Below are 15,614 nucleotides of genomic sequence, written 5' to 3' on the forward strand. Positions count from 1 at the left end.
ACCTCCATCCACATTACCTGCGTAATTCTCTTTGCTTTCCAGAACATCCTTTGTGTACTGTGGACTGTGATGATCTAATGCTAGTGGATTACATCTAAGTAGGCCTTAGTAGAAGCCACCTCCCAGTGGTTCCTCGGAGGCATTTGGTCCAGAAGCAGATGATTTTAGTGCAAAGCACAGACCGTATGCAGGCCTGAGCAGATCAGGGGACAGACAGATCTGGCTGACATCCTGATCCGCTGGCTGTGGTGGTGTGGCCATTGCTTGTAGCCACATTGCAGTCTTGAATGTCCCCCTTGGAAATGGGGGACATTTCCAAGGATGCCTGCCTGGTCCTCTAGTTTTCTCTTTCTCTGTTCTCTGTCATCTGCACTTTTTTCCTCTTGTCTTGATTGCTTGTCCTGTCTCCCCTAGTAGACACCCCCTCTGACCTCTGCTGCCTCAGGACTGTTGCTGTATAAAATATTGTGAGATGCCCTCTGCTCCTGTTTAAAAAAAAAAAAAATCCTTAGCTCTGGGTAAGCTAGGCACTGAGAATGAGGCCAGTCATTCAAAACTTGTCTCTGAGCATTGATTATACTCATGTATTATACTGTTAAGGGGTGAAGGTCGGCTCTAGGGTCAGCTTCCTGGATTTAAATCCCAACTCAGATTAAAGTGGGAGAATAATAGCACCAACGTGACAACCTCAAAGTGTCATTTGTAAGGATAATGTTAGATCATACACTTGATCACCCGTTAGCAGTGTAAGGGCAGTGTGGGAACATGAGCATGAACAGGGCAGCCCAGAAGGGAGTTGAATGGACAGATGGGCAATGCCAGTTTGGAAGTGGGTGCATGCATCCGGTGGGTTCAGGAGCCTGGAAGACTTATCCAAAAGTCATCTTTGCTGGTGTTTCTTCCTGTGTATTTTCTCTAACCTTCTCCAGCAGTGACCTGAATTACTTATGGGTGAACACTGAATGCTGCCCAGGCAACTAGAGGTTTATAGATGAGATACTTTAAATTTTTAATGATTCTTAAAAGAGGGAGTGGCTATTCTTATGCTTTCCAGAATGAATAGCCAAGGGAAACCTGTACAGTTGCCATATAAGGAGAAACCTAGACCTGGCCTTAGCCTCTAGGTCCTGGTGCAGATTCTTAGCACGTAGCGCCTAAAACCTTTGCGATTTCCTGAGTGATAGGAGCGTCTTTTGTTATTCATAATGAGATCTGGGTTTATGCTAACGAGGTGACTCAGGGTGGGGGCTGGCCCCAGAGTAACCAACACAGGATTAGAGGGTTGGGTCTATCAGTCCTACCCACCCCCAGCCTCTGGGTGGGGTGGAGAGGGGCTGGAGAGTGAATCAAATCACCAATAGCCAATGATGTAATCAGTCACACTTACATAATGAATCCTCCGCAAAACCCATCAACAGTGGGGTTCAGAGAGCTTTGGCGCTGGGAAACACACATGGAGGTGCTGGAGGGGGACACGCAGGGAGAGGGCATGGAAGCCCCGCCTCCCTCCCCGAAAACTCTGTCCTGTGCAGTGTTTCTTATTAATTACACTGTCCCTGAGTTCTTTTTTTTTTTTTGAGACGGAGTCTCACACTGTCGGCCAGGCTACAGTGCAGTGGTGCAATCTCAGCTCACTGCAACCTCTGCCTCCCGGGTTCAAGCGATTCTCCTGCCTCAGCCTCCCAAGTAGCTGGGATTACAGGCGCCCGCCACTACGCCCAGCTAATTTTTTGTATTTTAGTAGAGATGGGGTTTGACCATATTGCCCTGGCTGGTTGCGAACTCCTGAGCTCAGGCAATCTGCCTGCCTCAGCCTCCCAAAGTACTGGGATTACAGGCATGAGCCACCACCACGCCTGGCCTGCTGTGCCTGAGTTCTAACCTTTATAGTAAGTTGGTAATCCTCAGTAAAATGCTTTTCTGAGCTCTGTGTGTTCTGCCAAATCACTGAACCTGAGGTGAGGGCCCTGATTTGTAATCAGTGGGAAGAGGCTCAAGTAGCCTGGGAGCCCCATCTGCAGCTGGTGTCTGGAATGAAGTCAATTTGGTGGGACTGAGCCCTCAGCCTGTGGGGTCAACTGTAGCTAGTGTTAGAATCAGACTGAACTCTAGGACACCCCATTGGTATCAGATAATCAGAGAATTGCTGTTGGAATTTTCATGTGCGTCCGTGTGAAGAGACCACCAAACAGGCTTTGTGTGAGCAACATGGCTGTTTATTTCACCTGGGTGCAGGCGGGCTGAGTCCGAAAAGACAGTCAGCGAAGGGAGATAGGGGTGGGGCCGTTTTATAGGATTTGGGAAGGTAATGGAAAATTACAGTCAAAGGGGGTTGTTCTCTGGTGGGCAGGGGTGGATCTCACAAAGTACATTCTCAAGGGTGGGGAGAATTACAAAGAACCTTCTTAAGGGTGGGGGAGATTACAAAGTATATTGATCAGTTAGGGTGGGGCAGGAACAAATCACAATGCTGGAATGTCATCAGTTAAGGCTGTTTTTACTTCTTTTGTGGATCTTCAGTTAATTTAGGCCATCTGGATGTATACGTGCAAGTCACAGGGGATGCGATGGCCTGGCCTGGGCTCAGAGGCCTGACAGGAATGACACGTTGGGTGTCAGAAAAAAAACACAGAAAACTCCCTAAGCAGATTGGTTGAAAGCAGGCTGACTGCATGTCATCTGGGGGTGCGTCTCCCCCCAAGAGCAGGTTTCACATCTCATTCCCCGGTTGATTGGACAAGACCCTTCCTGTCTTTAAGTTCTGTTTTCTTCCTCCCTTTGTCTCTCCGAAGAAAATCAGCTGCATGAAAACGATCCTCTGGGCAGAAATTGGTGCTGTTGGAGCCGCACAGAGGTGCCCTCCCGTGCCCCCTGGCCCCCACCGGGCCGTGTCTCCTCCTGCCTGTTGCAATCAGCCCTCGTCCGACTCTTTTTGGAAGTGATTAAAACATAACTGTCATAGCTCTGGGGGAGACAGGCTGCAGATCCTGATTATAATTCAGAAGGATCTAAAGAAAAAGTAATTTTTTAAAAAAATTCTGGTTAAAGCCAAAGCTCATAAGACGTGTGTGATGGAGTGGTATGCAAGAGCACAATTAATGTATGTCCTAGACATCTGCCCACAGGATTCAGGGCTGGCAAATGAGTGCGTCCCTAAAAATAATGACTAGTGCTATCTTTAAAAAGTCTTTTGTGGCATAGCAGATTAAGATGGATGGCCTGGGAAGTACAGTGGCAGCGTGTGCTGTGGTATCCAGGAATAAGTTGTACCTCCTCGGGGTGGCAGTGGAACTGGGCCGTGAACAGCTTTTGCTTCCCAGAGAGGACTGCCATGGCCTGCTGCATGGAATTTGATTTTAATCTGTTTGTTATTTTTGGGTTTGGTCTTGGACTGGGTTTGAAATCCAGATGTGACTTTTTTTTTTCTTTTTTCAGTTTTCTTTATAGCAGCAATGTTGTATCTTGTGTGTTTCCTAACAAGACTGAGCTCTGAGCAAGGCAGCCTCTGGAACCAAATGTCTGCAGGCCCAGGAGACCTTTCTAGAAAGTTCATAGGTGGGAGGCCGAGGCGGGCGGATCACGAGGTCAGGAGATCGAGACCATCCCGGCTAAAACGGTGAAACCCCGTCTCTACTAAAAATACAAAAAATTAGCCGGGCGTAGTGGCGGGCGCCTGTAGTCCCAGCTACTTGGGAGGCTGAGGCAGGAGAATGGCGTGAACCCGGGAGGCGGAGCTTGCAGTGAGCCGAGATCCCGCCACTGCACTCCAGCCTGGGCGACAGAGCGAGACTCCGTCTCAAAAAAAAAAAAAAAAAAAAAAAAAAAAAAGAAAGTTCATAGGCGGTTCTGCAGTTTGAGCCCCTTCTGTGGGTCTGTGCCTGCTTTAGCCGCTTGAGATATGGCATTGAACAAAACACAGGCCCCGCCTGGGAGAAGCTGCCAGGCCAGCTGGGGAGACAGACCTGATAAGTGAAAATGAGATCGCGTGGCCTGCATGCTCCGAAGAAGACTAAGGCAGGAAACAGGACTATTTTCTCCCGACTGAATTGTCCTGGTATCCTTGTTAATATCAGTTGACTGTGACTTGAGACTTATCTTGGACACCCCTTTCTGTTCCGTGGGTCTGTGTCTGCCTTGATGTCAGTCCCACAGTTTCGACGACTGGAGCTTTGTAGTCAGGTGTGAAACAGTGGAGTGTGGGTCCTCCAGTTTTGTTCATCTTTTTCAGATTGTTTTGGCAATCCAGGAGTCCTTTGAATTTACATATGCATTTTATTTTATTTTAATTATTAATATTATTATTATTTTTTAGATGGAGTCTTGCTCTGTTGCTGGAGTGCACTGGTGCAATCTCGGCTCACTGCAACCTCTGCCTCCCAGGTTCCAGAGATTCTCCTGCCTCAGCCTCTCGAGTAGCTGGAATTACAGGCATGCACCACCATGCCCAGCTAATTTTTGTATTTTCAGTAGAGACAGGGTTTCACCATGTTGGCCAGGCTGGTCTCAATCTCCTGACCTTAAGTGATCCACCAGCCTCGGCCTCCCAGAGTGCTGGGATTACAGGCGTGAGCCATTGCGCCCGGCCTATATATGCATTTAAGACCTGCTTGTCAAGTTCTTTAGAAGCCATCTGGATAGTGATTAATTTGTAAAAATGATACTTATTATCTTTTTGAACTGCCAAAGTAATATATGCTGCTGAAAACCTGGAAGACAGAAAAATCCAATAGAAGGCAGGGCTAATTTTTTTTTTTTTTCCATGTATGTCCCTTCAGGCTTCTCTGTGTTTTTCATTTTTCCTACACAAATTTGGAATCATTCCAGAGCTAGTAAGCATCTAGGGCCACATTTGGACTAGTACCTTGGGATAAATTAGAGCTGGAATTGCCGGGTCATATAGTGTGCACAGGGCTAGGGACTGACTTATTTTCCTTTCTGAATGAAGACTCTGAGGTCTAGAGAGGTTAAATGAGTGACTCAAGGTCACACAGCTAAAACTCTGGTGGAGCTGGGTCTTAATGCAGACCCTACATATTCATGCCATGCTGTATTTATACAGGCATGTACACCAGCGGGTCGGGATTTTAGGGGGTGTTTTAAAATTCTGCCTGCAAAACCTTTTTTTTTTTTTTTTTTTTTTTTTTTTTTTTTTTGAGACAGGGTCTTGCTCTGTTGCCCAGGCTGGAGTGCAGTGTCACCATCACAGCTCACTGCAGCTTCCTCCCAGGCTCAAGCAATCCTCCTGCCTCAGACCCCTGAGTAGCTGGGACTACAGGTGTGCACTGCCCCACCTGGCTAATTTTTAATTTTTTTTGTAGAGATGGGGTCTCATTTTGTTGCCCAGGGTAGTCTCAAACTCCTGGGCTCAAACACTCATCCTGCATCAGCCTCCCAAAGTGCTAGGATTGCAGGTGTGAGCCGCTGCCCCAGGCAAACCCATTTTAAAGCCATGAGCCAAAAATTATAAAAGACATGCAAAATATTATGAGTAGTCACTTATCTAGTATTTGCGGCATCTCTCAGGCTTGGGGCTTTGCTGGGAGCTCTGAGGGGGTGGAAGAGGCTCTGTCACTGGCCTTACCTGGCTGTCAAGGGCTGAGTGTTTGGTGGAGGGAAGACGTCTGCAGCCTGGGAGGCTGCGGGTCAGAAGGAGGTCAGCCGGGGAGCTGGGAGGATCGTGGGGAACCCGTGGTGGAAATCAGCATGGCGAGAGAGTGGAAGCAGGCAGAGGAGGGCTTTGAAGACCAAAAAGGGTAGTTAGGATTGCTGCTCTGTGTGTCTGTAAACTTGGTGTTGTCTCTCGAATTTAAATGACATGCTTTGAAAACAAAAAAACAAACAAAAACCAAACCCATAAAATCTCACTAAGTGGCCAGAGCAAGTTCCCGGGGGGTGGCGCATAGATGCAGCGGTCTGGGTTCTGTGGCTGGGGGAGTTGGCTTGGGGTCCGTGGCTGGGTCAGTCTTCAAGAGCCACCCTGGGTGGCACTCCAGGTCTCTTGGTCTGGGGGGAATACCCTGACCCCAGCGGTTTCACGGCCTCCTCCCCACTCAGCCTGGGGGAGAGTCCAGGGTCGGCCCTGTCCCCCTCCCCCCACTCCTGTCACTATCAGTCCCCTGTGCTCAGCTTACTGGCAGGGTTCCTCCTGGCTGTCCCCTCTGCCTCCAGCGCTCTTTCCTCAGGTGTCCACGCAGCTCGTCCTCACCCTTTTCTGTCTCTGCTCAGATGCCGCCTGAGGCTCCCAAAACAGGGTCTCACTCTGTCACCCAGGGTGGAGTGCAGTGGTGCAATCACAGCTCACTGCATCCTTGACCTCCCAGGCTCAAGCGATCCTCCTGCCAGCGAGCTTGTTACAATTCCTGCACCAACACGGATACATTGTTACTAACTAAGGCCCTACACCAGCAAAGATACATTGTTACTAAGTAAGGCCCTGCACCAACACAGATACATTGTTACTAAGTAAGGCCCTGCACCAACACAGATACATTGTTACTAACTAAGGCCCTGCACCAACACAGATACGTTGTTACTAAGTAAGGCCCTGCACCAACACAGATACGTTGTTACTAAATAAGGCCCTGTACCAACACAGATACATTGTTACTAACTAAGGCCCTGCACCAACACAGATACGTTGTTACTAAGTAAGGCCCTGCACCAACACAGATACATTGTTACTAACTAAGGCCCTGCACCAGCACAGATACATTGTTACTAAGGCCCTACACCAGCACAGATACATTGTTACTAAGGCCCTGCACCAACACAGATACGTTGTTACTAAGTAAGGCCCTGCACCAACACAGATACATTGTTACTAAGTAAGGCCCTGCACCAGCACAGATACATTGTTACTAAGGCCCTACACCAGCACAGATACATTGTTACTAACTAAGGCCCTGCACCAACACAGATACGTTGTTACTAAGTAAGGCCCTGCACCAACACAGATACATTGTTACTAACTAAGGCCCTGCACCAACACAGATACATTGTTACTAAGGCCCTGCACCAACACAGATACATTGTTACTAACTAAGGCCCTGCACCAACACAGATACGTTGTTACTAAGTAAGGCCCTGCACCAACACAGATACATTGTTACTAAATAAGGCCCTGTACCAACACAGATACATTGTTACTAACTAAGGCCCTGCACCAACACAGATACGTTGTTACTAAGTAAGGCCCTGTACCAACACAGATACATTGTTACTAACTAAGGCCCTGCACCAACACAGATACGTTGTTACTAAGTAAGGCCCTGCACCAACACAGATACATTGTTACTAACTAAGGCCCTGCACCAACACAGATACATTGTTACTAAGGCCCTGCACCAACACAGATACATTGTTACTAAGTAAGGCCCTGCACCAACACAGATACATTGTTACTAACTAAGGCCCTGCACCAACACAAATACGTTCTTACTAAGTAAGGCCCTGCACCAACACAGATACATTGTTACTAACTAAGGCCCTGTACCAACACAGATACGTTGTTACTAAGTAAGGCCCTGCACCAACACAGATACATTGTTACTAAGGCCCTGCACCAACACAGATACATTGTTACTAAGTAAGGCCCTGCACCAACACAGATACATTGTTACTAACTAAGGCCCTGCACCAGCACAGATATATTGTTACTAAGGCCCTGCACCAACACAGATACATTGTTACTAACTAAGGCCCTGCACCAACACAGATATGTTGTTACTAAGGCCCTGCACCAACACAGATACATTGTTACTAAGTAAGGCCCTGCACCAACACAGATACATTGTTACTAACTAAGGCCCTGCACCAACACAGATACGTTGTTACTAAGTATGGCCCTGCACCAACACAGATACATTGTTACTAAGGCCCTGCACCAACACAGATACATTGTTACTAAGTAAGGCCCTGCACCAACACAGATACATTGTTACTAACTAAGGCCCTGCACCAACACAGATACATTGTTACTAAGGCCCTACACCAGAATGGATACATTGTACATTGTTACTAAAGCCTTGCACCAACATGGACACATCATTACTAACTAAGGCCCTGCACCAACACAGATACATTGTTACTAAGGCCCTGCACCAACACAGATACATTGTTACTAAGTAAGGCCCTGCACCAACACAGATACATTGTTACTAACTAAGGCCCTGCACCAGCACAGATATATTGTTACTAAGGCCCTGTACCAACACAGATACATTGTTACTAACTAAGGCCCTGCACCAACACAGATATGTTGTTACTAAGGCCCTGCACCAACACAGATACATTGTTACTAAGGCCCTGCACCAACACAGATACATTGTTACTAAGTAAGGCCCTGCACCAACACAGATACGTTGTTACTAACTAAGGCCCTGCACCAACACAGATACGTTGTTACTAAGTAAGGCCCTGCACCAACACAGATACATTGTTACTAAGGCCCTGCACCAACACAGATACATTGTTACTAAGTAAGGCCCTGCACCAACACAGATGCATTGTTACTAACTAAGGCCCTGTACCAACACAGATACATTGTTACTAGCTAAGGCCCTGCACCAACACAGATACATTGTTACTAAGTAAGGCCCTGTACCAACACAGATATATTGTTACTAACTAAGGCCCTGCACCAACACAGATACGTTGTTACTAAGTAAGGCCCTGCACCAACACAGATACATTGTTACTAAGGCCCTGCACCAACACAGATACATTGTTACTAAGTAAGGCCCTGCACCAACACAGATACATTGTTACTAACTAAGGCCCTGCACCAGAACGGATACATTGTTACTAAGTAAGGCCCTGCACCAACACAGATACACTGTTACTAACTAAGGCCCTGTACCAACACAGATACTTTGTTACTAAGTAAGGCCCTGCACCAACACAGATACATTGTTACTAACTAAGGCCCTACACCAACACAGATACATTGTTACTAAGTAAGGCCCTGCACCAACACAGATACATTGTTACTAACTAAGGCCCTGCACCAGAACGGATACATTGTTACTAAGTAAGGCCCTGCACCAACACAGATACATTGTTACTAACTAAGGCCCTACAGCAACACAGATACATTGTTATTAACTAAGGCCCTGCACCAACACAGATACATTGTTACTAAGTAAGGCCCTGCACCAACACAGATACATTGTTACTAACTAAGGCCCTGCACCAGAACGGATACATTGTTACTAAGTAAGGCCCTGCACCAACACAGATACATTGTTACTAACTAAGGCCCTACAGCAACACAGATACATTGTTATTAACTAAGGCCCTGCACCAACACAGATACATTGTTACTAACTAAGGCCCTGCACCAGAACGGATACATTGTTACTAAGTAAGGCCCTGCACCAACACAGATACATTGTTACTAACTAAGGCCCTACAGCAACACAGATACATTGTTATTAACTAAGGCCCTGCACCAACACAGATACATTGTTAGTAACTAAGGCCCTGCACCAACACAGATACATTGTTACTAAGGCCCTACACCAGAATGGATACATTGTACATTGTTACTAAAGCCTTGCACCAACATGGACACATCATTACTAACTAAGGCCCTGCACCAACACAGATACATTGTTACTAAGTAAGGCCCTGCACCAACACAGATACATTGTTACTAAGTAAGGCCCTGCACCAACACGGATACATCCCATTACTAACTATGGAGGTGCTTTATTCAGATATCCTCAGTGTCACCTGTTCTCCTTTGGCCGTCTCAGGGTTCCTCCCAGGACACCACATTGCATTCAGTCCTGAGGCTTCTCTGGGCTCTGACAGTTTCTCAGACTTTCCTTGTTTCTGTTGACCTTGACAGTTTTGAGGATTACTGCTCAGAGAGTTTGTAGACTGTCCCTCTGTTGGGGTTTGTCTGATGCTTTCTTCATGATTCGATCAGGTTGTCACTTTGGGGAGGAAGTCTGTGAGGTCAAGTGCCATTTTCATCGCATATCGGGGCACACCCATCTGCACACCTTCGCTATTGGCGTCGGTCGTCATCACCTGTGCAGGCGTGCTCACCCGGTTTCTCCACTGGATCCAGCTTTATTTTCCTTTCTATCAACCATCACAACCTGAAACTGTGGGCGTCCGTGTGTCTCTTGGAGTCTAGTAGAATGTAAGGCCCTCAAGGCAGAGGCCTCGTCTGTCCTGTTTGTCACCAGAGCCTGGTCCGCAGTGGTGCCTAGTAAGTTAGTCCACCCATTCACCACATCCTTACAGAGCTCTGGCGCCAGGCAGCAAGTGCTGGTGCTGCGGACAGAGCCACAGACAAGCCGGTCATAGCTTCTGGCCTCATAGACCTTGGAGTCTAACAGGGGAGAGCCTTTCAAAGATTTGCTCCCATTGCTAATGGGACAGGATGAGACAGGGTGCTGGGGGACTGAGAGCTGTGATGGGGGATGCTGCCTGGAGGGCTGGGGTGGTCTGAGCTCTGGAGGAGGAAGTGCTGCTCAGGTAGTGAGGGAGGGGGTGGTATCTGGGTTAGGGGAAGTGGCGTGTGCAGAGGCCCCGTGGCGCAGATGAGCTTGGGCTATTTGAAGAACCCCAGCGAGGAGGCAGGGTGTTCAGGTGGCTGTGGCTGTGGCCCAGGGGCAAGAGGGAGATGGGGAGGAGTGGAACTGGTTAAGAAGTGGACAGAAGTAGGGTGAGAAGGCAAAGTCCAGGATCTGAGACAGGAGGATGGTGGCCTTCCTGCCTCCCTTCCTTCCTGCCTTCCCTGGAAAGGAGCACGCCTGGGGTGTGGTGAGTCCTGTTAGAGATGCTCACGGAACCCCCTCTCCCCACCCCGCCCCGTGGCAGGGGCATGGAGAGGCGGGCCCTGTGCTTAGGGGGTCCTGGGTTAGGGACGGCGCTGGAAGTTGCAGGAGGGCAGAAACCGGCCTCTGAAGAGAGTGGGGAGGGAGAAGGGGAGCTGTCCAGGGCCCTCAGGCATGCATCATGTAAGGGTCAGGGGAGTCAGGGAGGATCCCCCAAAGGAGGCTGTAGAGGGTGAAGGAGGAGGGCAGGAAGCCAGTGAGTGTGGGGGTCTGTGGGCCATGGGGGGTGGGGGAGGCAGCTCTTTGGGAACTGAGGGGGTTCGGGTGCAGCCCTGGGACTCCCAGGCCAGTGCTCTCCCTCCCCCTGCCAGCCACCTCGCAGAGAGAGCCCGGGGTGGAAGCAGGGTAGTTGGTGCTGTGCCCTGACCTTCAGAGGTGGCATTGACAAGACCAGAATGCCACAGGGCCATGCACCTCTCCCTGCAAACTGCCCTTTAATTTATTTTTACCTCTGTTCCTTGTGGGCTTGTGTGTCAGGTTCGATATTTTTATGTTACTGGGAAAATAGAATGTGCTTCACAGAAATTTGCCTTGTGGCCAATATTGCAGGTTGCAGCTGTTTCAGAGTGACAGGGGACGGTATATTCTGGACTTGTGCCCTTTTGTTCATCTCTGAGAGGGGCCATAAACTCCCATTTCCGAGAGGTTACTGGGACCAATGAGATCATTTATTAGTTTTCCTTGCACAGGAAAATCACACACTCTGTGCCATTGATTGAGTCCATTTTATTTTGTGGAATAGACATGTCAGAAGCAGGATTGGCCAGGTGGAATTGTGTTTGGCGGGAGTCCTGTCTTTCCATAGGTACTTTCATAATGGAAGCAATCTCCTTCTGAAGTGTATCACCCGGTGAACTGAATGGAAAATCTCTTGTGAAAAGGCTTAAGAGGAAGGCTGGCCTGGAAAAATGAAACTCACATCCACAGAGAGACTTGTACCTGAATGTTCATGTCAGCACCACTCACAATACCTAAAAAGGGGTGATAACCGAAATAACCATCAACCAAGGGATGGAGAAACAAAATGTGGTCCCCCATGAGATGGAATATGATTCAGCGTAGGCACGAAAGAAGGACGGAAACATGCTATAACATGGATGAACCTTGAAAACATGCTCAGTGAAAGAAGCCACACATGAAAGGGCAGACATCATCGGCTCCTATTAATATGAAATGTCCAGAAAGCCAAATCCGTGGAGAGGGGAAGTAGATCGAATCACACACTTTTAAAGGATGAATTGTGTGGAGTGAGAATTCTATCTCAATAAGGGTGCATACAAAATGCAGCTGACGGTGGTCACACCAAGCCTGTCAGTAATGATGCATAACTTCCCTTTGCTGTCCTGGGTTAGGGTGGGTTGAGACTTAGGGTGACCAGGGAGGAATGGATATCTTGTGGGTCACCTTGACTGTCTTGGGGTGATGAGAGGGCAGTATTACCAATGCTTAATCATTTGCCCCCATACCAAGGTGAACACGAGATGCTCTGGTCCTAGTGGCTGCAGAGTTGTGCAGCCTCTGTCCCTGTGCTAGCTCTGGACCTGGTGGTGGCCGCAGAGCTGTGTAGCCTCTGTCTCTGTGCTTGCTCTGGTCCTGGTGGCCACAGAGCTGTACAGCCTCTGTCCCTCCGCTTGCTCTGGTTCTGGCGGCTGCAGTGCTGTGCAGCCCCTGTCTCTGTGCTTGCCCTGTCCTTGTGGTGGCTGCAGAGCTGTGCAGCCTGGCCCCAGAGCTGTGCAGCCTCTGTCCCTGTACTTGCTGTGGTCCCGGTGGTGGCTGCAGAGCTGTGCAGTCTCTGTTTCTGCACTTTCCCTGGTCACTGCCTCATTGCCGTGGCGCTGGTGGACTGAGGCCATAATGCCTGCGTCTCCTGCAGGTCCTCCTCGACTGGATTAATGACGTGCTGGTGGAGGAGAGGATCATTGTGAAGCAGCTGGAGGAAGACCTGTATGACGGCCAGGTGCTGCAGAAGCTCTTGGGTGAGTTCACAGCAGGGACAGCTCTGTCCCACCCCCATCTCCCTGCAGCGGCCCTGGGCTGGGCCAGGATTCTCTGCATAGTGACATCGGCCACAGGTCCTAGGAAGACACTCAAAGCTGCAGTGTGCATCTCCCAGGTGGTGCCCAGGCCCTGGGCTGTGGCTTCAGGGTCCTCTCTCCCCTTGCCGTTTCTACAGAGCACCCAGCCATGGGGCAGCAGCAGGTTGGGGACAGCTTCCAAAACTGCCTGCGGCTCCCATCCTGTTGGGTCTCAGGCCCACTTTGTGTCCCTGCCACCCTCTTTTGACTTGAACTCCTTCGGTTCAGGATGGGAGGCAGCAGGAGGGAAGCGGGTCTGCAGCAATATTCTGTGAGTGAATGTGTCACCAAATACATGATAGCTCATGTTCCCTCACCAGGGGCGGGCTCTAGTGTCTGCATTTGCTGGGTGAAGGCAGTTTAGTGATCTTCCCGGGACTGACTGATGCATGGTTTGATGTGCAGACAAACCGGTTGTTTATTCATCAGATGTTGGATGAGTCCCGAGGGCTGGGTACCAGGGATACGGTGATCTTTGAAACAGACGTGGTCCCTGTCCTCAGAACTTACAGTCTGTCTGAAAAGACAAATATTTTTGAATGGTTACAGTTACTGTTCAGATTGCTTGTGATGAGGGCCTTCGGAGATGCCGCAGGTTCTGAGTAGAGGACGCCGGCCTGGCCTGGGGGTGGGGCGGCCTTGCAGCTCATATGGAAGAACGAGCGAAGAGTTGCCAGGCAAAGAACGGAAGAGCAGAGTTCGCAGATGATGCATGAGAGGAATTCTTGGACTTGTAGTGGGTTCTCACGATGCCTGGCACTGTCATGTCTCATTGTCACAATGGTCCTAGGGGGCAGTACTGCCATCGCCTTCGACAGGTGGGGACGTTGGGGCCCACAGTCTCCTGGTGAACAGCCGGGCAGCCTGGCCCCAAGCATAGCTCTTGAGCCCGGCCGCGGGGCCTTTCTCTGACCTGTCTACGGAGCAGCCCCAGGTACAGGGCCTGGGTCAGGCGCTCCTGCATGATCACAGCTGGTTCTCACAACAGCCCTGGGGGTCTGGCTGAATGAGCAGATGTCCCTGGTTGTCCCCACGATGCCTTTTGTTTGGATCCAGGAGTGAATCACACATGAACGTTTGTCTCTTCTTTTAGGCTTCTTTCATCTGGAACCGCCTTCCCTTTCCCTCTCTCCGTTCTGTTCTGTCTTTCTGTCTTTTATGACGTTTTGGAAGGGTCTGGGCCTCTTGTCTTGTAGAATATCCTCCCATCGGGATCTGTCTGTCTCCTCACGATGAGATCTGGGTCACATGTTTCTGCTGAGAGTGTGACTGCGCTGCCTGCTTGTCCTCCTGGGGGCATCGTATCAGGAGGAGCACACAATGTCAGGCTGCCTGTCATTGGTGGTGCTGACAGTTTGATCACTGGGTTAAGGCAGTGGCCTATGGGTTTCTCCATTGTAAAGGTGCTTCTTTCCTGTTAAAAAAACCACTTTTTTATTTGTTCTATTTTGGTAGAGTCAGGATCTCACTCAGTTGCCCAGGCTGGAGTGTAGTGGGGTGAACATAGCTCACTGCACCCTCAAACTCCTGGGCTCCAGTGATCCTCACACCTTGGCCTCTAGAGTAGCTAGGACTACAGATGTGTACCACCACACTTGGCTGTTTTTTTTTTTTCTTTTTTTGAAATGGAGTCTTGCTCTGTCACCCAGGCTGGAGTGCAGTGGTGCGATCTCAGCTCACTGCAACCTCCGACTCCCTAGTTCAAGTGATTCTCCTGCCTTAGCCTCCTGAGTAGCTGGGGTTACAGGCACATACCACCATGCCCAGGTAATTTTTGTTTTTTAGTAGAGATGGAGTTTCACCATGTTGGCCAGGATGGTCTTGATCTCCTGACCTCATGATCCACCCACCTCAGCCTCCCAAAGTGCTGGGATTACAGGTGTGAGCCACTGTGCCTGACTGGCTAATTGTTTTGTATTAAATTTTTAAATTTCATTTTTTTGTGTTAGAGACAGGGTCCTTGCTTTGTTGCCCAGGCCTGTTTTGTACTGGCCTGAAGCAATTCTCTCATGTTGGCCTCCCAAAGTGTTGGGACTACAGGTGTGAGCTACCATGCTCAGCCCTTCTTTCCTTTTTAATACATGGTCTCTAGAGGGGCAGACTCTGGGACTTTGTGAACGTCCTGTTCACCCATGATGCGCTCCCCATGATTTTATCATCCGCTGATTATCATTCTCTAAATTATGCTAAATATCATCTCTAAATATTATGCTGGAGGTTGCAAAATAGTGATTTCTGTATCTTTATCATGGCTTCCCCACTTATTAGCTGGCATTTTCTTCTGTAAATAAGTGCTTTTCTTCTCCTGTGTCCTTTTTTAAAAAAAAAAAATCCCCTAAAATAGAATAACACATTCCCCTGGACTGATGAATTATTTTATGTTCAAAAGAGAATGGTAATTAGATAGCAAAATCTGGGCCTTATGGGTGCTTGTGGCTCCTGGGGTGTCATTGCTTCTAGTCTCTTTAAGCCAAAAGAGGTAGCAAATATATAGTTTTTTAAAAATTGTGAGTTCACACTGCTACTTCTAATTCCAGTTCAATGCTACAAGTTTATCCCTTAACTGTCAGCATTCAGTATTCCAGTCTCCAGGGAGAACCTTGGTTCCAGAAATATATTTGCTATTTACTCTGATTGCATACAAAAATAGTGTCAGAATTACAATACCAATACCTCTATCAACTACAAA

At 48.7% G+C, this 15,614-nt stretch overlaps 1 protein-coding gene across 11 annotated transcripts in view, besides 3 other annotated features; it reads left to right on the forward strand.

Moving 5' to 3' along the window:
* Positions 1 to 15,614, forward strand: part of PARVB (parvin beta) — a 173,729-nt gene that overhangs the window by 107,104 nt on the left and 51,011 nt on the right. For all 11 annotated transcript variants that reach the window (NM_001003828.3, XM_024452236.2, NM_013327.5 and 8 more), the window contains one exon: positions 12,724 to 12,826. In NM_001003828.3, coding sequence (NP_001003828.1) covers positions 12,724 to 12,826 — 103 coding nt within the window. The remainder of the gene's footprint in view (positions 1 to 12,723; positions 12,827 to 15,614) is intronic.
* Positions 35 to 930: an enhancer, noted in NCBI's record as "OCT4-H3K27ac hESC enhancer chr22:44502229-44503124 (GRCh37/hg19 assembly coordinates)". NCBI's record gives its function as "activates a minimal SCP1, AML or CMV promoter by ChIP-STARR-seq in primed H9 embryonic stem cells {active_cell/tissue: H9 hESC(primed)}" and the evidence as "EXISTENCE:reporter gene assay evidence [ECO:0000049][PMID:30033119]".
* Positions 931 to 1,825: an enhancer, noted in NCBI's record as "OCT4-NANOG-H3K27ac-H3K4me1 hESC enhancer chr22:44503125-44504019 (GRCh37/hg19 assembly coordinates)". NCBI's record gives its function as "activates a minimal SCP1, AML or CMV promoter by ChIP-STARR-seq in primed H9 embryonic stem cells {active_cell/tissue: H9 hESC(primed)}" and the evidence as "EXISTENCE:reporter gene assay evidence [ECO:0000049][PMID:30033119]".
* Positions 1,826 to 2,720: an enhancer, noted in NCBI's record as "H3K27ac-H3K4me1 hESC enhancer chr22:44504020-44504914 (GRCh37/hg19 assembly coordinates)". NCBI's record gives its function as "activates a minimal SCP1, AML or CMV promoter by ChIP-STARR-seq in naive H9 embryonic stem cells {active_cell/tissue: H9 hESC(naive)}" and the evidence as "EXISTENCE:reporter gene assay evidence [ECO:0000049][PMID:30033119]".

This window comes from Homo sapiens, chromosome 22 (genome assembly GCF_000001405.40).
Source record: "Homo sapiens chromosome 22, GRCh38.p14 Primary Assembly".
NCBI classification, from domain to species: Eukaryota; Metazoa; Chordata; class Mammalia; order Primates; family Hominidae; genus Homo; species Homo sapiens.